Here is a 22,670-nt window from a genome sequence, read left to right as displayed (position 1 = left end):
GATGTGGTGGCGGGCACCTGTAATCCCAGCTACTCAGGAGGCTGAGGCAGGAGAATCACTTCAACCCGGATGGTGGAGGTTGCAGGGAGCCTAGATTGTGCCACTGCACTCCAGCCTGGGTGACAGAGCAAGACTCGCTCTCAAAAAAAAAAAAAAAAAAAGAAAGAAACAAAAGAAAAGAAGAAAGAAAGAAAGAGAAAGAAAATGTTTAAACACTTTCTTTTAAACAAAAAATTTTAAACAAAATTATGGCATATCCATATCTTAGAATAATTTGCTACTAATACATGGAATGAGGGAAATCTATATATTCTGACACAGAACATTGTCCCTGATACGCTAAGTGCAAAAAAAGCAAATTGCAAAATAGTATCTATCCTAGGAATCCACTTAAAATTGTTTTTAATGTTAATATATTCATAGAAAAATATTGGAAGGAATATGTGCCAAAGATTACCGTGGCTATTTCTGGGGCATGATGTATGTATTTCATAATGTTTACATTTTTATGAACATGGATTACTTTTGCAAACAGGAAAAATCCAATGACGTTGAATTATTTCCCCAAGGGAAGGAAGGAAATAAAAAAGGAACCGGCTGGTAATGAGATTTATTCACTGTCTTTGGGTGAGAGGCTTCAGTGTAATTCCACGGTGAGTGCACTCTGATTCCGGCACCCTGGGCAAGGGCGATATGTAGTAAAAATGAACGGAAGTGACCATGCCCACACCAGGGGCCGCAGACAAACGGCCTCTCTCCGCTCCCTTGCCCTGGTCTCCTGCTTGTTGCTGCGGCTACTGCTGCTGCTCCTGACTCTTGGCTGATGCCTGAGTGCCTGCTTTCTTCCCATTTCCTTCTCTCACCCTGCAAGCCGCTGTAGAGGACACTTAAACATGGTGGTAAAGACCTTGGCCTTTAGAGGTAGGTAGCCCTAGGTTCAAACCCCGACTTCACCACTTTCCTGTGTGACTTTGGAACATTTACTGCTCCTCTTAGGACCTCTGTTTCCTCGTATGAAAAATATCATCATCTTAGAGAACCTGCCTCATAGGATCTCTGGAGTGATGAAAAGAAACAAGTATAAAAAGCCTGGGTGCAGTGGCTCACGCCTGTAATTCCAGCACTTTGGGAGGCTGAGGTGGGCAAATCACTAGAGGTCAGGATTTCGAGACCAGCCTGGCCAACACAGTGAAACCCCATCTCTACTAAAAATACAACAATTAGCCAGGCATGCTTGCTTGAACCCAGGAGGCAGAGGTCACAGTGAGCTGAGATCGTGCCACTGCACTCCAGCCTGGGCAACAGAGCAAGACTCGGTCTCAAAAAAAAAACAAAAACAGAAAAGCCCCAAAGAAGTCTAAAAAGTGCCTGGGCATACTAAGTGCTTAATAATGACACCTATTATTAGTATTATTGTCACCGAGTCCTTTCAATTCTTTCTTGGTTGAATTTTCCCATCTATCTTCTACCTGATAAACTCCTACCCAGCTTCCAGGCCTGGCTCAAAATGCCATCATTGTGAAACCTCTTCTGGTCCCTTTCCCCAACACCCAGAACTGACTGACGTTCCCATTGGAGGGACATTACATTCCGGCACTGTGCTGGGTACCTGGCTGCATTACCCAAATTCTACTCTGATTTGCAGTTCTGTCTCCTCTCCTCTACAGACCCCTAGCTCCTGCAGGGCAGCAGGCAGCTCAGATCTCTTCATCTCAGTGCAGGCCCAGAGTGTGAGTGCAAGTAATCATTTTTCCAATTGATTTAATCCCATCCCTGCTCCTAAGACCTTGGCCTAGCCGTTTCCAGTTCATGGGGGAACTATGATAACAACTGTCTAATCAGTCCCCCACAATTCAGGCTAACATGTGAATTACATAAGTCCTTGCTCAAAACCCTTCAAGGACAGAGCAGAATTTCCGAAAAAATCCCAGAGTTGGAGCCAGACCTGGGTTTAGCTCTAGTTTTGCCACAGGCTGATGTGATCCTATCACCTGGCTTTACCTCTCTAAGCCTTAGCTTGGCCATCAGTAAAACCAAGGCCCTCCTGCCACAGGGCACTAGAGGGTGCTCAGTGAGAAGTGCATGTGAAAATGTGTCAACATTACCTGAATGTTAGCTATTACTATTTCTATTATTTTTGAGAGGTAGTGTATTTTGGGGAGGAAGGAGAGGGTAGTTGAAAAAGTTTCTGTCCTGGAAGTCAAACCACCTCCTGAATGGTAATCTTCAGCAAGTTTCTCCAGTTATACAAAGAGGAGAGCTGTAAGATTTTTCTACTCCTAGGGTCCTGTTTCCTCCAGAAACTGCATTTGAAGCACCCTTTGTGAGACCATTCCACAAGGCAAGGGGGCAAAAACTGTGATCCACCCTTGAAATTAAATGCAAGTATCAGAGAACGTCTGTGCACTCCCATATCCACCCTTGTATTTGAAAAGGGCTTTAGCGTGAAGAAGTCTCCGTCAAATCTTGACGGTGGTATTCTCTACATGGCGGGATTGGGCATCATTTTAATTTTGTGTTTTTCCAAATCTTCGAAATCTGCAATTTTGGAACTAGAGCGATGATGGGGGCACAATATTGTGAAGGCACTACATGCTACTACACTGTCCATTTCAGAACGGCTAGTTCCATATTATGTGAGTGTCGCCTCACTTAAAAACCTTCAATACGCTCCCGATTTTATAGTCATTCTTTAAACCGTAGTTTGAAGAGAGAAGTACAGAGGCTATCAAGGCTCAGGGCCCGCGGAGTCGGGTGACGCTCGCCTCCGCCGATTTGTCCAAGTCGCAACCTAGCCGCCAGCCTGTAGGGCACTCCTCCGACCACGAGGGGACAATGCAAAGCCTCGCGTTCCCCACACTAAGGCGAGCACCGCCTCTTGCGTCTTGGAAGCGCCTGTGCGTGCGTGGGGCGTAGCAAGGGACGGAAGCTCTGCCTGTGCGACCGCCGCCCACCCGAGCCTATCTGGGCTGCGTCTTCTCGCCGCTGCTCTTCGTGGCCCAACGCCCCAATCCTTGCGTGTGCTTGCAGTCCCACCCCACACTCAGCCTTGTGTCCCTCGATCCAGTCTCCGACTTCCATTTCCCACCCTAAACCGCCTACCCGGTGTCTGTTCCCCGCCCGGTTGTCCTCGCCCTGCTGCGCTGAGTGTCCCCTGTTAGCCTCGACCCCATGGCGCTGCAGACGCTGCAGAGCTCGTGGGTGACCTTCCGCAAGATCCTGTCTCACTTCCCCGAGGAGCTGAGTCTGGCTTTCGTCTACGGCTCCGGGGTGTACCGCCAGGCAGGGCCGAGTTCAGACCAGAAGGTGAGCCCGGGCAGCCCCACGACGGGGAACTGTCTGTTCTCACGAGTCCCGTTTTGCCCTCGATTCCTTCAGAGTCGGAGAGCTGCCTGTCCGCTCTGCACACTCCACGTGTCCACTAGCAGAGTGAACCATAGGCCTGCCTTCCTAGTATAACGACAGCGCGAGTTGAAGCGACGGTGTTGAAGGATACTTAGGAATCCACGTGGGTCTAGAGCAGGAGAAGCAGTTAGGCAGAAGGAAAAACTGCTGCAGGGGCAAATGGAAGAAAGGAAAAGAAATCGTTATCAGGTTCTTTCAGTGTTTTAGTCGGCTGGACATCGGAATTTTCTGGGGAGCTTTTAAGAAAATCCTAATGCTCGGCTTCCGCCGATGGAGATTCTGATTTAATTGGTTTGGGATGAGGCCTGGGCTTCAGGAATTTAAGAAACGTCCCAGGTGATTCTAATGCGCAGCCAAGTTTGTTGAGAGTCACCTCTATAAATGTAGGAGAAAATGCAAAATGATCTTCTGACTTCAGGAAGTTGGCGGACTGGTTGTAGGGCCAGGGCAGGTGCAGTGAAAGTAACTAACATCAAAAGTTAGTGCGTGACCAGTGTATTTACCCTCGCTCAGCACTTTTAACAACGGTCTGTTTGAGACTAGGCATTGTTACTTTTCAGAGTTGGCTCAGCACAGCCTCAGTAAGGGTACAGTTTTCCTTGTAATTTGCAGAATTCAGTGTGCAGGTTTTAATGGGGCCCCCTGCGTCTGGATACCTGACTGTAGTCTGTCTTCTGATTAACATCCTGCCTGTTCACTTCCTGGTGAGGCCATCTATGCTGTTGCTTGGATTTCCTCTGTTTCCCACTTACACTACTATTTAATATTTTTCTTTAAATTGGCAGCATATGAGAAATTATAGGTTATTATAGGCTAGTTATTTTTCCCGAATTTACCTTAACATAATTACACATTTTTAAAAAACATGTTTATTCCATACCTGCCTCGCCACCAAATCTCAAGTGTCCCCAGTGGTCTGTAGAGTCACACTCTACAGAGCAGGCGTTAGCCTCCTGATGGCCACCTCTTCATTCTTCCATGGAGGTTTTCCTTTGAATAGACCTGGAATTCCCTGCAAGAAAAGGTCCTTCCTTCCCATTCCCTCACTTTTGATTCCTTACATTCAAGTGAACAAGTTGTAGATTCCAACACCTACATCTTTCTCACATCAGTCCCCATCCTTAGCGCCTTAGCTAATATAATTTCATTTCTCCCCTGGAATCTTGCCATGGCTTCAGATCTAATTCCCCCACCCCCTTAGTCCCTCTTCTCTCCAGTCAGCTCTTCTGCAGGAAAATTTTCTAGCATGGCAAACAGCCTCCCTCTCTGATCTCATCTCCCACCGCATAAATGTGTTCTATTTCAGTCATATCTGACGGCAGCTTCCAGAACATGCTGGCTCCCATATCCACAGAGCACTTTCCTCCAACACGGCTCCCTACCCTTCCCTGTGCTTCCCCCAGTGCTTCCAGCAAGTCTGTTTAACTCACGTGTCCTTCAAGACTCAGATTTGTCATCTCTAGGAGAATTTCTCCCTCCTGTGCCCCTGATCTGATCCCTATGCTGAGTGCAGTTAGTACATTTTGCATTCCTCTATCAAGTCAATGTAGTGATAATTTGTTTATTCTCTCCAGTAGACTCTGAGCTCTATACTTCTACCCTAGGGCCTGTCAGAGTTCATTACTTATGTACTCAATAAGTGGTTGGTGAATAGGTAAGAGATAAAATAACTGACTTCCTTTTATATAGTATTTTGTAGAGTTTATCCAGGTGGTGCTAATTTGATCCAGAAGAAAAGCGGAGCACATTTAGCTACATTTGTGAAAGGCAGTGTAGTGCAGTGGTTCAGCACACACAGTTTGGAGCCAGACCTCTTAGGTCTGCCACTCACAAGCTCTGTGTCCTTGGGCAAAGAGCATCCCCTGTGCCTTGGTTTCTTATAAAATTGAGATAATAGCAGTAGCTACCTTGTAGGGTTGTGCTGAGGATAAATGGAGTGACTGCGTATGTTACCCATAAAGTGTTTAAAGAGTGCTGGCACAACAATACATGTTAAAGAAGTGTTTGCTATTATTACATTGATGAAAACAAAGCTCATATTTGTTCCAGAGACTCGCTCACATTTCTGATGACAGCACCAGGCCTTCTGACTATTGATCATAATTGCGTAGTATGTTAGAGCTTTTCCATGCTCTCTTGCTGCCTTTCTAGGAATTAATACTGAAATTATTCTCTTTTCTTCACTCCACAGAATGCTATGCTGGACTTTGTGTTCACAGTAGATGACCCTGTCGCATGGCATTCAAAGAACCTGAAGAAAAATTGGAGTCACTACTCTTTCCTAAAAGTTTTAGGGCCCAAGATTATCACGTCCATCCAGAATAACTATGGCGCTGGAGTTTACTACAATTCATTGATCATGTGTAATGGTAGGGTAAGTGACTGCTGGCCTTTGTCTTAACTTGGCTGGTTATTTACCTGGGTTATTAGAGTGCCAGCTAAATATGTATGTTCTTGTGGTCAGGAAACATTCACACTCCTGCTGGACGTTGTTATAGTCGGGAAATATGTATGTTTTTATAGTATGTATATTCTTATAGTCAGGAAACATTCACACTCCTGCCAGACGTCTTGAACTTGGGGACAGAGCAGGGACTGGAGTCCTTCCTCATGTCCCATTAACTGTCATTGCAGTGTGAGGAGGTGGTTGGGTGTGACTGACTTATTTTATTTTTTTTATTTTTTTGAGACGGAGTTTTGCTCTTGTTGCCCAGGCTGGAGTGCAGTGGTGTGATCGCAGCTCACTGCAACCTCCGCCTCACGGGTTCAAGTGATTCTCCCGCCTCAGCCTCCCAGTTAGCTGGGATTACAGGCGTGTGCCACCTTGTAGGAGAGACAGGGTTTCACCATGTTGGCCAGGCTGGTCTCGAACTCCTGACCTCAGGTGATCTGCCCGCCTCAGCCTCCCAAAGTGCTGGGATTACAGGCGTGAGCCACTGAGCCCGGCCACACTGACTTTATTTTTTTGTCTTTGGCCAAGTGGTTCTCAAGTTTTAGTGTGCATCAGAATCCCCTAGGTTGTGTGTCCATTGGACACACAGATTGCTGGGCCCCACCCCCAGAGTTCTGATCACTAGGTCTGGGGTAGGGATTGAAGATTTGCATCTCTTAACACACTTCCAAACAGTGCTGAAGCTGCTGGTCTAGAACCATTGGTCTGGTCAGTGGGAGGAATAGGCAGGCCAATTTTGGGTCAGGTTGGAGATTGATTTTATCTAGAAGGAGGGGCAGACACCCCCAGGAAGAAGTTGGAAGTGAAGAGGATATCACAGGTGATTGAGAGCATGTGTGTCAGGTGATAGACGGGAACCTCTTGGTGCCAGGAGACGCGTGGAATTTGACAGTGGGCTGTTGGAGAGCAGGTAAGTTGCATGGATTCCTGCTGGTGGTTCATCTGACAGCAGGAACTTTGCTGAACTGTCTTTCAGCTGAAGCATCGCAGTCTCCAAGAGAGCTGTCAAGACCTAGGCAGAACCCCAGCCTGCAAGGATCAGTAGGGGTCTAAATCAGATGCTTCCTAGAGCTTCCCTGGGCCAGGGATGACATATGGGTTTCACTTGCTGTGCCAGCTCTGCCACTCATTGTTCAAGGCGGTCAGGCTTTGGCCGGCATCGAGCCACCTGGAGATCCCATTTCAGTGCAGATCCTGACTCAGTTGGTCTGAGATGGAACCTGAGATTCTGCCTTTTTTTTTTCTTTTTCTTTTTTTGAAACAGGGTCTGGCTCTGTCACCCAGGCTAGAATGCAGTGGCACCATCTCCGCTCATTGCAATCTCTGCCTCCCGGGCTCAAGCCATCTACCTGTCTCAGCCTCCCAAGTAGCTGGGGCTACAGGCACATACCACCACGCCTGGCTAATTGTTGTATTTTTTGTAGAGACAGGGTTTTGCCATGTTGCCCAGGCTGGTCTTGAACTCCTGACCCCAAACAGTCCTCCCAAAGTACTGGGATTTACAGGTGTGAGCCACCATGCCCCACCAAGGTTCTGCTTTTTTTTTTTTTTTTTTTGAGATGGAGTTTTGTTCTTGTTGCCCAGGCTGGAGTGCAATGGTGCGATCTCTGCTCACTGCAACCTCCGCCTCCCAGGTTCAAGCGATTCTCCTGCCTCAGCCTCCCGAGTAGCTGGGATTACAGAGCCCACTACTGTAATCATGTCCAGCTAATTTTTTGTGTTTTTAGTAGAGTGGGGTTTCACCATGTTGGCCAGGCTGGTCACGAACTCCTGACCTCAGGTGATCCACCCGTCTCGGCCTCCCAAAGTGCTAGGATTACAGGCGTAATTCTGCATTTGTTATAAGCTCCCAAGTGATGCCAATGCCATTGGTCAAAGGCCCACGCTTTAAAGGGCAGGAGGTTGGAGTACTGACTTGAGAAGGATTTGAAGGTCTGTCTGAACTTGGCTAAGGAGTGAGTGTTGTGATTGACTGGTGACGTCTGCATACCCCTTGGGCCATATATTTGCTTTTCCGGTTGAGATCCAACCTTGCTTCACCTGTATTTTGCAGTTGAGGAAACTGAAGTTCAGAGAGAGGAAATGACTTCCATAAGGTTGTGCAGCTAGTTTGCAACAGGTCCCCTGACTTCCAGGCCCGTGGTGTTTCTGTTACCTCCCAGTGGTTACTTGCCTGCAGCTAGAAGGGCTTTCTGCAGTGCTGCTGCTGGAGTTGGGGGGAAAAGGCTGACACTCAGCACAGCCTTCTGCATCCACTTGAGTCATGCAGGACACTTAGCTTTGTTCTTTCTCCACAGTTAATATTATGCCAAACCTACCTGTAATTAGTAATTTTCAAAGAATATTATAAGTTCCAGTAACCAAATGTTTGGGCATAATTATATGCCAAAAGACTACTTTTTAATTGATAATTTTTAACTGCTTTTTATATATTTGCAGCCTGAGAAGGCTGTTTGGATACTGAGGTTCAGCAAAGTGGGTCTGAAGATACTTGTTTATGCAAATGGGACTTTGTAACCTGGGAAATCTACAGGATTTATACAAATTATTATTGAAATAGGCTTAACTGTCCGGGCACGGCAGCTCATGCCTGTAATCCTAGCACTTTGGGAGGCCAAGGTGGATGGATTGCTTGAGCCCAGGAGTTCAAGACCAGCCTGGGCAACATGGTGAAACCCTGTCTCTACAAAAAATACAAAAATTAGTCAGGTGTGATGGTGCATGCCTGTGGTTCCAGCTACTCTGGAGACTGAGGTGGGAGGATCACTGGAGCCCAGGGAGTTAGGGCTGTAGTGAGCCAAAATCATGCCACTGCACTCCAGCATGGGCAACAGAGTAAGACTCTGTCTCAAAAAAAAAAAAAAAAAAAAAAAAAAATAGAAATGGGCTGAACTATAATTTCTTTTTTTAGCATGAATAAAGAAGTTTTATTTTTGGATATTGCTTTGTAATTACAAAAGTGTTTGAAATAGTCAGTAGCAAAAGAGAAATTCACTATGTAAAGCATGTCAGTGAAAACTTCTAATTAAAGGAAAATTTCTTGTACTTTGTAATGAAAAGAGCATTGGAAGACCAGACTGAAATTCTGGGACCTAGTTTTGACTCTGCTACTACTGGTGCCACCTTGAGCATGTCATTTGTTGTCTCTGAGCTTTAGGTTTTTTATTTCTCAAATGAGGAACATGAACTAAATTATCACTTCTCAAACTGTCTTTGGGGAAGGACAAGTTTTTTTTACTCCCAATCCACTGAGGACCAATACTAGATAGCATCTAAGAGCCATTCCACCTTTAACATCACATGGACCTAAGTTGAAATAGTGGTCACCTTGTAATTGCCTGGTGGGTTCTTCCTGCCTGTCGCATGGACAAAATCGGTTCACTGTGACTGTGGTATTGCTGTAAAGAGTTTAATCAGGCCGGGCATGGTAGCTCACACCTGTAATCCCAACACTTTTGGAGGCCGAGGCGAGTGGATCACCTGAGGTCAGGAGTTTGAGACCAGCCTGGCCAACAGGATGAAATCCTGTCTGTACTAAAAATAGCAAAAAATTAGCCAGATGTGGTACCGCGTGCCTGTAATCCCAGCTACTCAGGAGGCTGAGGTGCAAGAATGGCTTGAACCCAGGAGGCGGAGGTTGTGGTGAGCTGAGATTGCGCCAGTGCACTCCAGCCTGGGTGACAGAGTGAGACTCCATCTTAAAAAAAAAAAAAATGAGTTTAATTAACATTAACGTGAGGCTGGGCACACAGGAGAACTGGTGTTGTCACTCAAATCACTCTCCCTGAAAGCTCGGCAGTTAGGGTTTTTGAAGGATAGTTTGGTGAACAGGGGACTAGGGAATGGGTGCTGCTGATTGGTTGGGGATGCAATCATACAGGTGTGGAAAACAGTCCTCATGGGCTGAGTGGGCCTTTTGCTGAGGGAGGGGCAACAGGACCAATTGAGTGTTGAGTCATGGTTCTGGGTGGGGTCAGTCAGTTGCTGGAATGCAAAAGTCTGAAAACATCTCAAAAGACCAACCTTAGGTTCTACAGTAGTGATGTTATCTATAGGATTAATTGGAGAACTCACAAGTCTTGTGACCTCTGGACACATGTCTCCTGAGCAGTAAGACATCATAGAAACTATCCCAACATTTTAGCAGAATTCAGGCCCTTCCCATAACCCTAATCTTGTGGACTTTCATTAGTTTTACAAAGGGGATTTCAGCTCTGGACTGGGGAGGGGAACAGTTTTAGGGAGGGACTATTATCATCCTTGCTTTAAAATTAAACTATAAACTATATTCCTCCTCCTTGGTTGGCTTGACCTACGCCCAGGCATGAGCTTGGATAGCCAGCCTGTGAGGCTGGCAGCAAGATGGAGTCAGCCATGCTAGACTTCTCTGTTATAATCTTGTGAAGACAGTTGCAACCTCCCCTTACATACCCTAGGGGCTAAATCAGTCTTGGACACTTAACCTCTCAAAAGTTTTGGTGGAGATGTGTGTTTTCACAAGTCAGGTGTTTTGAGTGGCTTTGGAATCAAGGTACTGCTCTGGTCAAGAATTTTATCTGTTTCCTTATATTTTATACTTGTATAAGCAATAACATGGTATTTTACTCCGTTTTGTGCCATTTCTTTTTTCCTTCAGCTTATCAAATATGGAGTTATTAGCACTAACGTTCTGATTGAAGATCTCCTCAACTGGAATAACTTATACATTGCTGGACGACTCCAAAAACCGGTGAGTGTTTTATAGGCTGCACAGTTAAGGATGCCTTTCCTCTCTGAGCCTAACCTTACTTTGATCATTGTGATTGCAATGAGATGGAACTCTGGAAATAGAAATGAGTTTCTGACTCTTCCTATTCCCTATAAAATTTATTGCCAAATAATATCCACATATTCTATTGTGATATAAGAAGAAATATGTATTTGGTTTTTTTCCTTGGGCTCCTGGTTCAGAGGTCCTAAAATCTTTGGAATATCTGAGTGTTAGGGATGAGAGGGTCTTTTATTATTCATAACAAGTTCCTTTCAGTCGTACCTGAGTTTATACTAATAAAGTGACTCTTGATGGGCCCCTAGATAGATTCAGGATAGGGCTGGTTGCCAGGGAGCCAGCCGTGTGATAAGAGGCTGGACCTTTCAGGCCCCCCACTCCCACCTTCACAGAGGGGAAAAGGGCTGGAGATTGGGCCAATCACCAACGGCCAATGATTTAATCAGTTGTGCATAGGCAGTGGAACCTCCATAAAAAAAAGGGGGTTCTGAGAACTTCTGGGTTGGTAAGCACATCAAGGTGCTGGGAGGGTGACATGCCCGGAGAAGTCGTGGCGCTCCACACCCTTCTGCTACCCCATATCTTGCCAAGCATTTCTTCCATTTGGCGGTTCCTCAGTTGTGTCCTTCATAATAACCAAGTACATGCAAGAAAAGTGCCTTCCCGGCTGGGTGTGGTGGCTCACACCTGTAATCCCAGGACTTTGGTAGGCCAAGGTGGGCGGATCATTTGAGGTCAGGAGTTCAAGACCAGCCTAGCCAAAGTGGTGAAACCCCGTCTCTACTAAAAATACAAAAAAGGTACCTGGGCGTGGTGGCACATGCCTGCAATCCCAGCTACTGGGGGAGGCTGAGGCAGGAGAATCGCGTGAATCTGGGAGATGGAAATTGCAATGAGCCGAGATCACACCACCGCACCCCAGCCTGGGCGACAGAGTGAGACTCCGTCTTAAAAACAACAGCAACAAAAAACTGCCTTCCTGAGCTCTGTGAGCCATTCTAGCAAATTATGAAACCAGAGGAGAGGGGAAGTAGCCCCCATCCCTTTCAAGTGAACGATCAGAGTACAGGCAGCCTGGACTTGTGATTGGTGTCTGAAGTGGGGGAGGCTTGTGGAACTGAGCCCATAACCTGTGGGATCTGACTCTGACTCCAGGTAGCTAGGGTCAGAATCGAATTCAGTTGTAGGACACTCAGTTGGTGTCTGGAGGGCTGGAGAATTGGTTGGTGTGACACCCACATTTGGTGTCAGAAGTGCTGGGAGTAGAAGCCGGGTCACAGTCCACTCTCCCTCCTGCTGCCCTCCCCCTCAAGATTCTCCAATGACTGGATCGGGCTCCAAGTTGACCCATTTGGGGGAAGGGTGGCAGAGGAGGTGCCTGGTGCCTCAGTGGAGCCTCCCTTAGCACCACCCAGTCACCTTGTCTGCTAGGACATGTATCATGGAGGCACCGTTTGTCCACTGATGCGTCCCAAGGGCAGTGCCTGAGTCGTGGGATCCTTCAGTAACCATTGAATAAATGAATGCACCAAGTAGTCATTCCAAGGGACTGGTGTTCCCATCCCTTTTATTCTCTTTCTCAGGCCAGTGGTGATGCTTTCTCTATTGTCTTAGCTCTTTTGGGACACAGCTAGAGGAGGCTGTGGGGAGTCGGCTTCTCCCTGGGCTTTAGTAGAAACAGGAAACAAACACAAAACAGGAAAAAAAAAAAGTGGGAGAGAACTTAAACTTTTAACAAGTATTTGCAATGTCACTTTTCTTTCTTCTTTTTTTTTTTCCAGATAATCAGTCTGTGCTCTGAGAAAGGGTCTTTCCATAGTTTGAGGACTGTGTTAAATATTTACAGTTGCTAATCTCACACTTCCTACTATAAGGAAGATTTTCACTGTGCGTGAGAGGGTCCCAGGCTCCACAAGAGGCCGATAGATTGTTCTCGAGTGTCTCCCCCAACAGTGATGTGCTGCTTCTGTAGCTATCTATGGGAAAAATGACAGATTTCCATAGCCTTAGCTCACTGGTTTGTGTCATAAACATCTCTTTATTGATGTGCATGGGCTGTCTGGATTCTCCTGCTTTGCACCTGGGCTTACAATTTCATAGTGTAGCTCCTTAAAATGTCCAGAAATACTCGATCCGGGCAGGGGTTACACAGGTATACACATGGACAAATTTATCAAACTGTACCCTTAAGATGTGTGCACTTCACTGTAACTTTTACTTTAATTAAAAACATTTTTTAAAGTCCAGAAATGATAGGCTTACTGAAATTTCATGTCTATACAGATACATTTCTCATTTCTAAGTTGGATGACTAGTAAAGCTCATAACTGAGCAGTTGGAAATTTGTAAATATTTTATTTCCAAGGGTTTTTTGTTTTGTTTTTTGTTTTGTTTGTTTGTTTTAAATATACAAAAGATGGGCCAGGCACTGTGGCTCACGCCTGTAATCTCAGCACTTTGGGAGGCTGAGGCGGGTGGATCACTTGAGGTCAGGAGTTCGAGACCAGCCTGGCCATCATAGTGAAACCCCAGATCTTCTGAACATACAAAAATTAGCCAGGCGTGGTGGCACACGCCAGTAATCCCAGCCATTCGGGAGGCTGAGGCAGGAGAACCACTTGAACCCAGAAAGTGGAGGTTGCAGTGAGCCGAGATTGCGCTACTGCACTCCAGCCTGGGTGACAAAGCGAGACTCTGTCTCAAAACAAACAAACAAAAACATAATATATAGCTTGATGGGAAGAATAGTGGACATGAAATTAGAAGCCTTGAGTCATATTCAGTCCTGCCACCTATTAGCTGTTACATAAACTTAGGCATCTTGTTTTATCTTTCTGAACTTCAGTTATCTGTAGAATAAAGGTCCACAAAGGTATTGAAAATTGGAAGCAGGGCTGGGTGCAGTGACTCATGCCTGTAATCCCAGCACTTTGGGAGGCTGAGGCAGACAGATCACTTGAGGCCAAGAGTTCGAGAACAGCCTGGACAACATGGCAAAACCCCATCTCTACTAAAAATACAATAATTAACTGGGCGTTGCGGCATGCACCTGTAATCCCAGCTACTCGGGAGGCTGAGGCAGGAGAATCGCTGGAACTTGGGAGGCAGAGGTGAGCCAAGATCGTGCCATTGCACTCCGCACTCCAGCCTAGGTGACGCAGCGAGACCCAGTCTCAAAAAAAAAAAAAAAAAGGAAAAGGAATATTGGAAGCAGAGTAGTACTGCTGGGAAGAACTCAGTGTTTCAGAATCTAACAGATGTAGGGTTAGAATCCCAGCTCTGATGCTTCCTAATGTTGTGACCCTGCACCACTGACAGTCTCCCTAAGCCTCGGGGTGTTTTCATCTGTAGATGAGTCTGATGGCGCTGACCTCAGAGGGTTCTGAAATGCCTGGTACTTAGTAGACACTCAGAAAATGGTCTTTGCCTTCTCTCTGTGCCTTTGCTTATCTCAGTTATTTTGAGATAGAAATGAAATTGAATGTTAAAATGTTGTATTGTTCTTTGTATTATACTTTATGCTTAGAATGTTTCAAAATTTTAAAAAAGGCTTTAGAAAGCTGAAATGCCATGAAATCTCAGAATGTAAGCACTGGAAATGAGCTCAGGTTTTATCTAACTGTTATATCCTTATAAAACAAAAACAGCAATTCAAGACAAGTAGTAGCACCCATGCTCATTTCATGCAAAACTCTGCATTTCTCAGCTGACTTGGAGAAGAAAATGTTACTGATAGCAATGATTATTTTCTAAGGCTTTTAATGCTTCTAGCACAAGAAAATTAGGGTATCATAAAGTCATTTGAAAGTGATGAACATATTTTTTTTTTAATTGAGAATGATAAATGGGCAAATTAACTCTCTCTTCTACCTTGCTCCCAATTTTCAACATGTGGAAATCACTGTTAACCAGAATGATGATTTTTAAACAAACTATCTGTGCCTCTAGGTGGCAGCAAATATTAATCAGACTTGAACAAATCTAATGAAAAGAGGGTGGTAGTATCTTGGACAAGAAAGTTGGGTAAATATCTTAAGAAAGAATTATGAGAATATGAGTATGAATTCTTTATCTTTGTGTTTTAAAAGGAATCACATTAAATTACATTGTCTAAAGCCCCAGAATTGTCTTGCATCTTGCAAATTGAAATAGAATTCCTCAATCACTAGTAATTCAAGTCTTTAAAAGGGATATAGGCCGAGTGCGGTGGCTCATGCCTATAATCCTAGCACTTTGGGAGGCTGAGGTAGGGGGATCACCTGAGGTCAGGAGTTCGAGACCAGCCTGGCCAACATGGTGAAACCCCGTCTCTACTAAAAAATGCAAAAATTAGCCAGGCGAGGTGGTGCGCACCTGTAATCCCAGCTACTAGGGAGGCTGAGGCAGGAGAATCACTTGAACCCAGGAGGTGGAGGTTGCAGTGAGTCAAGATCATGCCACTGCACTCCAAGCTGGATGACAGAGCAAGACCATGTCTCCAAATATATATATTTGAGTATCTTGCTTAAAAAGATGGACTTTCTGGGAAAAGTTGAGTGTAAATTAAATTTTTATCATACTTTACCATTAACTTATCTCATAATTGATGGAATACCCTATTTTTATTTCCAGTACAACCTTAAGTTTCTGAGTTTACTAATATTTTCCCAAGTAAAAAATCATGGAATTTAAAGTGTTTAATATAGCATTGTGACCAAACTTTTTTTAAGCCAAGAAACCTCTAAAGTAATAATTAATAGTTATTTCCTTAGTTAACATAATTTTGGATTTTTGTATTTTACATTGTTTTTAGTGTATAAATAATTGTGCTTGAGTTTTTAAGACATTTATATTGACATGCAGTGGTTTTTTTGCCACCTTGTTAAGAGGATTTTGATTTAATGTATTCATTGCAATATATTTTGCCTTTTAGTAATGTAGCTTTATTTTATTTTAATTTTATTTTTGAGACAGAGTGTTGCTTTGTCACCCAGGCTGAAGTGGAGTGGCATGAACACAATTTACTCGACCTCCCGGGCTCAACCAATCCTCCCATCTCAGCCTCCTGAGTAGCCGGAACTATAGGCACGTGCCACCATGCCCAGCTAATTTTTGTATTTTTTTGTGAAGATGGGGTTTTGCCATGTTGCCCAGACTGGTCTTGAACTCCTGGGCTGAAGGGATCCACCTGCCTCAACCTCTCAAAGTGCTAGGATTACAGGCATGAGCCCCCTTGTCTGGCCTATTTTTTAATAACAGCTTTATTGAGATAAAATTCGCATACCACACAGCTCAACCATTTAAAGAGTACAATTCAATGATTTTTACTATATTCAGAGTTCAACTATCACCATATTGCAGCTTTGTTGATTAATTTTTTGTGTGGATAGAAAAACCCCCAGTGCTATAAAAGATCCCTAAACTGGGAGTTGGAAAACCTGGCTTACTAGTTTTGGCTCTGCCCTACTATAAGCAAATGTTTGGGCCGCTAGCGTTTGAAATGCACAGATTGAGTCATTCATTTCTTTATTCAAAAGACAACTGTTTCTTCTCTGTGTATGCCAAAGGAATTTTTAAAAATGATATCATGTTGCTTGTCCTCGAAGAGCCCAGAGTCCAGCAGGTAGATATTGAGTAAGGTTTCATCCAGCTCTAATGTTCAGCGTTTCTTCTTCATCCTTAAGCAGTGACTATTTAGAAGAGTTAAACCTCCTGGTCGTTTGGAATGGAAAAGTTCTGGTGGGCGGTTGAGTATTTGAACAGTAGGTAGGGCTGTGGTCTTTGTGATTAAAATTTCACTCTGCAATTCAAGTAGTCTCTCCTTGTGACAGTTTTAGAGGAGCCCACATGTGAGTTTCTCTTTTTTCCTGTCTTGAAAGGTACTCACAAATATCTCCTTTGAAAGTCCCTTTAAGCCAATGCCCCTTTCTCTACAGTAAAGATTTTCCTCCCTGGCAGTCGTGCTAATGTTATCTATGCAGTTCAGGTCGGGGCATTCCCAGTAAGATACAAACAGCTATTCACAAATCTGAGCACTTTCTTTTTTTCCCAGGCCTCTCTGGCAGTGTCCCAAGAGTTCACTGGCTTTTCACTCTGAACAACAAATAACAGTGCTGCTGAGACAAGTTCCTAGTTCACCTTTCATTGAAGAACCAGATCAGCACAGTAGCAGAATCTTCCGAACTGACATTTTTCCTTTGAGTAAGGATGCTTTTATTTTCATCCTCTTAATCTTAAATAGCAAACAGACTGCTTTCTTACAGCCTATGTAGAACAACTTCCTTGGAGAACAAGTGGTATTTTGTTAACTGGGAAAATTTCCCAAGACTTAGTCTTTTCTTTGCATCTTTGAATTGTTAGCATCTCAAAATAGCTTCTAATTTCACTGGGCTTCTGTAAAAGCCATCAAAAACAGAGAGGTGAAGAATTATTGAGAAGGATGTGTGATGAATGGGGATGAAGAACGGGAATGTGGAAGTAGAGAGACATCACAGAGTTGTGGAAAGAGCACTGGGTGAATCCTGGGACTGGATCCCGGTCCAGTTCGCCACTACTTCTCTTGGAGAAATCTTTTAACCCCTTTAACCCCTCCAGGCCTAAGTTTTCTGTCAGTAAGATGAAGCAGTTGCCCTCCTAGATTAATCATTCAGTATGGAATACTGTCATCCCTTGGTGTCCATGGGGATTGGTTTTAGGACCTGCACCCACCCTCAGAATTCACGTCTCTGATATAAAATGGCCTAGTATTAGCATATAACTTATGCACATCCTCCTTTATATTTTAGATCATCTCTGGATGACTGTTAATACCTAATACCGTGCTTACACTTCACATCATTCGCCTGCCTTCAACGTAGTAATTGGCATGTGGCAGCAAATTCAACATTTGCTTTTTGGAACTTTGTGGATTTTTTTTTTTTGTTTTTCTGAATGTTTCCCATCTGTGATTGGTTGAATCCCATGGGTGCAGAACCCACAGATACGAAGAGCCAACTCTATAAGGTTTAGGAAAGTTATTCAAGGAATAAGCATAGGTGTTTTTATAGGACCTTAAAATTTGTTTTAATCATCTTTCAAGATAAGTTAACCAGAATATAACCCTAAATGAATGCATGAGAATAATTCAGAATATTTAGAGCTGAATTTGCCAAGTAAAAGAATGTGATCCTGATTTTTGTTGTCAACTCATTATGCAACTGTAGGCAAGTCATGTTCCTGGCTGGTCATGGGTTACTCTCTGCAGATGATTGCAGTAATACTAAACTCACCTAAGTGCTGAAAGGCTTAATTAAGGTCCATTAAGTCCTCAGAATTGTAAGGGAGGAGGGGGTGTTATTGAATCAAGTGGCTTACCTACCATATATGATGTTTGTATGTTACAAATACTCCCTTAGAAAAAAGTAGGGAAAAAAGGTAAAAGAATTCAGATTCTGAAGCCTGATTTATAAAATAATAGTTATATGTTTTATAATACTGTTTTTTACAATTAGAAGAGAAGAAGCTATGCCTTGGAATACTGCAGCATTCTCCTCTTTCCTTGCTTTCTAATATTTATTTTGGAGTTTCTCATAGTGTGTCTTTTATGTGCTATCTTAATTTTGTCAGAAATTATCTGTATTTGACAAATAAAAGGCAACTTATGCCCTGTTTTCTAGAATAGGTAGAAAATGTGTCGATAGTACCAAAAGATTTAGAGATGGTAGATATATTTTAGACATATGAGAGTCCTTATTAAGGGACTTCTAGACCCTTTACTTTGTATAGAAAGTCAATCAGAAACAGTATGATGTTTTTAAAAGATCATGGTACGAGTGTAAATTGGCATAACCACTCTGAAGAGCAATTTGACAGTGCTAAGTATGCACCTTAGAGCAGTAATTCTCAAAATGTGGTCCCTGGGCATTGCTTAAGAACTTGTTAGAAATGTACATTTTTCAGCCCTCACCGAGGCCTCCTGAAACAGAACTCTGGGAGTTGCATCCGATAATACACATTTTAACGAGTTCTCCAGGTGAAGCTAATGCTAGCTAAAGATGAGAACCGCTGGCCCAGAGAAGCTCTTGCCTTGTGCACTGAGAAGCACACACAAGGAAGCTCATTTCACTGAAGGGTTTGTGTGCAGTAACTCACTTGATCTTTCTAGCAGCCTTATGAGCTTGATTCTGTTATTTACTCCATTTTACTGATAAGGAATTATGCCCATAGTCACAGAGCTAGTAAGAGATGGAGTTGGCATTTGAACACATCTCTTAACTGCAGTGCAATCTTTAAAAGTAAGAATCTCAGAACAGACTGAAGCTCTTAGTATTTTTTTTTTTTTTTGAGACAGGGTCTCAACTGTGTCTTTCAGGCTGGAGTGTAGTGTCATGATCATGGCTCACTGCAACCCACTGCAGCCTCAACCACCTGGACTGAAGCTGTCTTCCTACCTCAACCTCCTGAGTATCTGGGACCACACATGTGCATCACTGTGCCTGGCTAGGTGTTTGTTTTTTTTGTTTTTGTTTTATAGAGATGGGGTCTCACTATGTTGCCCAGGCTGGTCTCATGATCCCCCTGCTTTGGCCTCCCAAAGTGCTGAGATTACAGATGTGAGCCACCACACCCAGTCACTCTTTGTATTTTAATGGATTTGCAGAAAGTCTCAGATGGAAGCTTCTACTCTGTATTGAGGAGAAAAATTCTTTCTGAGCGAAGCAGTTGCTAGTATTCTAGGCACTTTACATTTATTATTATAGTCAATCTTTGTGACGATTCTTTGATGCAAATCATTTGCCCAAACTCACATAGCTAGTAAGTACCTGGACTTGAGCCCATACCTATCTCTAAAACCCGTTCTTTTTCTACTGTAGCTAGTTTTCTTTCATTTTTCCTTAGTCAAGTTCAAAATCGATGTATCTAGAAAGTGCGAAATAGAGCATGAACTTCCTATGTTAGATATGGTCCAAGATTACAGATGAGGTCTAAATAAAGAGGTAAAATGCCTCTGTCGACTAAAAAATTAAGTGACGACAGTGAGATTATAAAATTTAAAAATATTAAAGTTTCCAAAGGACTTTTGCTCTTTTTCTAAACCTATGCTGCATTTCCTCATTTAAGAAGAATATTTGTTTTCTTTGGCATTTTGATCCTTTCCTGTGTCATGATTTCTTTGACCTTGGCATAAAACAAGGAGATTCTGGGATTACTTATTAGAGGAACAATTTTGTGTCACCTGAACCAGTATTCCAAGATCTTCAGTGGGAAGAGAGTTTGAGATAGTTCCAGTGCATTTGTAACCCATGCTTGAGCAATACTCCACTTCTGGAATTTTTCTTCCCAATGTTCTGCTTCTTTCAGGTGAAAATTATCTCAGTGAACGAGGATGTCACTCTTAGATCAGCCCTCGATAGAAATCTGAAGAGTGCTGTGACCGCTGCTTTCCTCATGCTCCCCGAAAGCTTTTCTGAAGAAGACCTCTTCATAGAGATTGCCGGTCTCTCCTATTCAGGTTAGTATGGTTGCTGCCCAGATGTTCTACAAGGGAGAGATTTATATTTGAAGACTGCGGATATCCTGTTCTCACTCGGCCCTGGAGCTGCTACAGTCTTAGTTGTAAATCACGTCACTCTTGAGTGGTTCCTGCACTAACCTCGTGATTTGCCTCCCTACCTCCTGGGTCCCCTCTCCACATCTCCATGCTTATTGTCCCAGGGTAATTTTGTTGTTTTTGTTAATTTTTATTTTGAAGTAATTTCAAACTTACAGAAAAGTTTCAAGAATAATACAGAAAACTCCCTATGCCCTTTTCCCAGATTCGCCAATTTTAACATTGCACCATATTTGTTTTCTCATTGTTTCTGTATCAGTGGTTTTCAAACTTTAGCCTGTGTCTGAACAACTAGGAAGTCTCAGGTTAAAACACAGACTCGTGGGCCCTACCCCAGACAGTTGATTTAATAGGTTTGAGGTAGGGCCCAATAATTTTTATTTTTAGAAACAAGTTCCCAAGTGATGCTGATGCCCCTCCAGGGATCCCACTTTGAGAACCACTGTTTTCTCTGTATGTGTAAACATACTATATATATATTTATTTTCTAAACTGTTTGAGGGTAGGTCACACATATTATGTCCCAAACTGAGACAACTGAGAGGGTAGAGCCCCTGGCCACTCACCCTCGCTGCAACCAGAGGAGCCCCCATCTATCTTTTTACTATAGTAAGGTTCCGTTTAAGATTTCATTTACAAAACAAGTGCTCTGCCGCTTTTTAAAAAGTTTGAAAACCACCATCTTAAAAAAAATCATCTTTCCCGATTTTTGAGTATGAGTCAAAGAACTTTATGCTCAGAACATTGGAAAAGCAGTTTACTTAGCCTCCAAATCCCAGTACAGACAGGTAAGATTTCATGGAAATTTAATGCTGTAAGAGACCTTAGAGGTTTTGTTCTTCCATCTTCCCAAAATTCATCTACCATGACTACGGCTGTATTTGCAACACTGTAGAGAAAGGCGTTGAAGCAACCTTGGTCTCTGGGTGCTTCCAGCTTCACCTGGCAGCCTCCCTGCCTTCCAACAAAAGACATAGGGGCAAAGAGTGGCGTGGCCCTGTGCTGGAATGAGCAGGTCACATGCACACTGTGTGAGCAAAGGAAGTCACTTTATTAGAGTGATTACCTTTCCATACTCCCCTGTGAAAAATGATGGAACGGAAGCCTTTTATGAAAGCTGACTTGGTGGGAGAAGATGCAGGACTGATCTCTACTCTGCCCCTACCACTACCAGTCCTCCATTTCTTCCCTTCTAGTCAACATCTTCGTAGCATTGGATGGATTCTGGGAGTTCCTTCTAAATTCTGAATATTACTAAGGAAATTTACCAAATGACATAGCTGCTTTCACCTCTTTGAAGACTTTTAATTTAGCCTTCAAGCTGCTACCAAGTTTAGCTGATTTTTGCTGGAACAAGAAGAGAGTAATGAAGGTAGAAAATGACATAGGCTCTGTAGGTAGATCTCTTTCATAGGTATGAGACCTACCCCAGGCAAAGTGTTGAAAGGCACATTTTCCTCCTGACTTTTGTAGGCTTCTGAGAACCCAGTGTTGTAGAATTGATTGGTTTCTATCCCTTGGCAAACCACCCAAATCTCCGAAGCCCTGAGAATATGCCAAAATTCATATTGTCTACTAATCTCATTTTTATTTATAACTTTGCATTGTCCATCTTTTTCCAGTTGTGAGATTATATATGGTCCCTAATCTGTGAAGTTCAGTATTTTTCCTGGGAGTGGGCAGGAGAAGGAACAGAAAAACCATGTCTGTCCATGTTGTTGGACAAGTTCCTGCCAGTAATTACTTAGGCAGAGGCGAGATTGGTATTATTTGTAGCAATAACAATCCTTTACATTTTATATAGTATTTTAGGATTACTTTGACTGCCCTGAGGTCAGTATTATTATAAATTATGGGTGAGAAGAGAGTAGGTGGAGGATGAGAGGCTGCAAACTGGGAAGGAGAAAGCTTTATCTTTTTTTATTTTTTATTTTTATTATTTTTCCTCCACCCCCCTCCTTTTTTTTTTTTTTTTTTTCCTCTTTTCTGTTTTAAGACAGCTTTCTAACCCAGCCAGCTGTGGTGGCCCTGTAATCCCAGCAATTTGAGAGGCCAAGGCAGGCAGATCACTTGAGGTCAGGAGTTCAAGACCAGCCTGGCCAACATGGCAAAACTCCATCTCTACTAAAATACAAAAATTAGTCAGGCGTGGTGGTGCATGCCTGTAATCCCAGCTACTTGCGAGGTTGAGGCAGGAGAATCACTTGAACCGGCGAGGTGGAGGTTGCAGTGAGCCAAGATCATGCCAGTGCACTCCAGCCTGGATGACACAGTGAGACTGTCTTGTGTCTCAAAAAAAAAAAAAGAAAAGAAAAGAAAGAAAGAAAGCTTTCTAACTCTAGTTTTTCTTAGAAGTCAGCATTTAAATGAACAGGAAAGGAGCACCAAATGCATTTTAAAGAGTCACCTTGAACTTTGTTATGTCAGTACAACTATTAAAATGACTAATTTTAGGCAATGGTCCTTGGTTTAATATT

The 22,670-nt window shown here is 43.4% G+C and overlaps 1 protein-coding gene across 20 annotated transcripts in view; it reads left to right on the top strand.

The window, feature by feature from the left end:
* The first annotated feature begins 2,922 nt into the window (after positions 1 to 2,922).
* TAMM41 (TAM41 mitochondrial translocator assembly and maintenance homolog) overlaps positions 2,923 to 22,670 on the top strand; it is a 124,990-nt gene continuing 105,242 nt past the window's right edge. For 10 of the 20 annotated variants that reach the window (NR_135611.2, NR_158711.1, XM_017005725.3 and 7 more), the window contains exons 1-4: positions 2,923 to 3,306; positions 5,597 to 5,779; positions 10,494 to 10,586; positions 19,944 to 20,094. Coding sequence is in view for 10 of the 20 variants with exons in the window: in XM_017005725.3 (XP_016861214.1) it covers positions 3,172 to 3,306; positions 5,597 to 5,779; positions 10,494 to 10,586; positions 19,944 to 20,094 (562 nt within the window). In the remaining 10 variants the exon portion in view is untranslated. Of the gene's footprint in view, positions 3,307 to 4,711; positions 4,918 to 5,596; positions 5,780 to 10,493; positions 10,587 to 16,656; positions 16,806 to 18,933; positions 20,095 to 22,670 lie in introns of all 20 variants that reach the window. The other 10 variants (NR_158710.1, NR_104314.2, NR_158714.1 and 7 more) reach the window with 5 other exon arrangements.

Source organism: Homo sapiens, chromosome 3, assembly GCF_000001405.40.
Source record: "Homo sapiens chromosome 3, GRCh38.p14 Primary Assembly".
NCBI classification, from domain to species: domain Eukaryota; kingdom Metazoa; phylum Chordata; class Mammalia; order Primates; family Hominidae; genus Homo; species Homo sapiens.
Note: the sequence above shows the minus strand (reverse complement) of the source record. Positions and strands in the feature narration are given on the sequence as shown.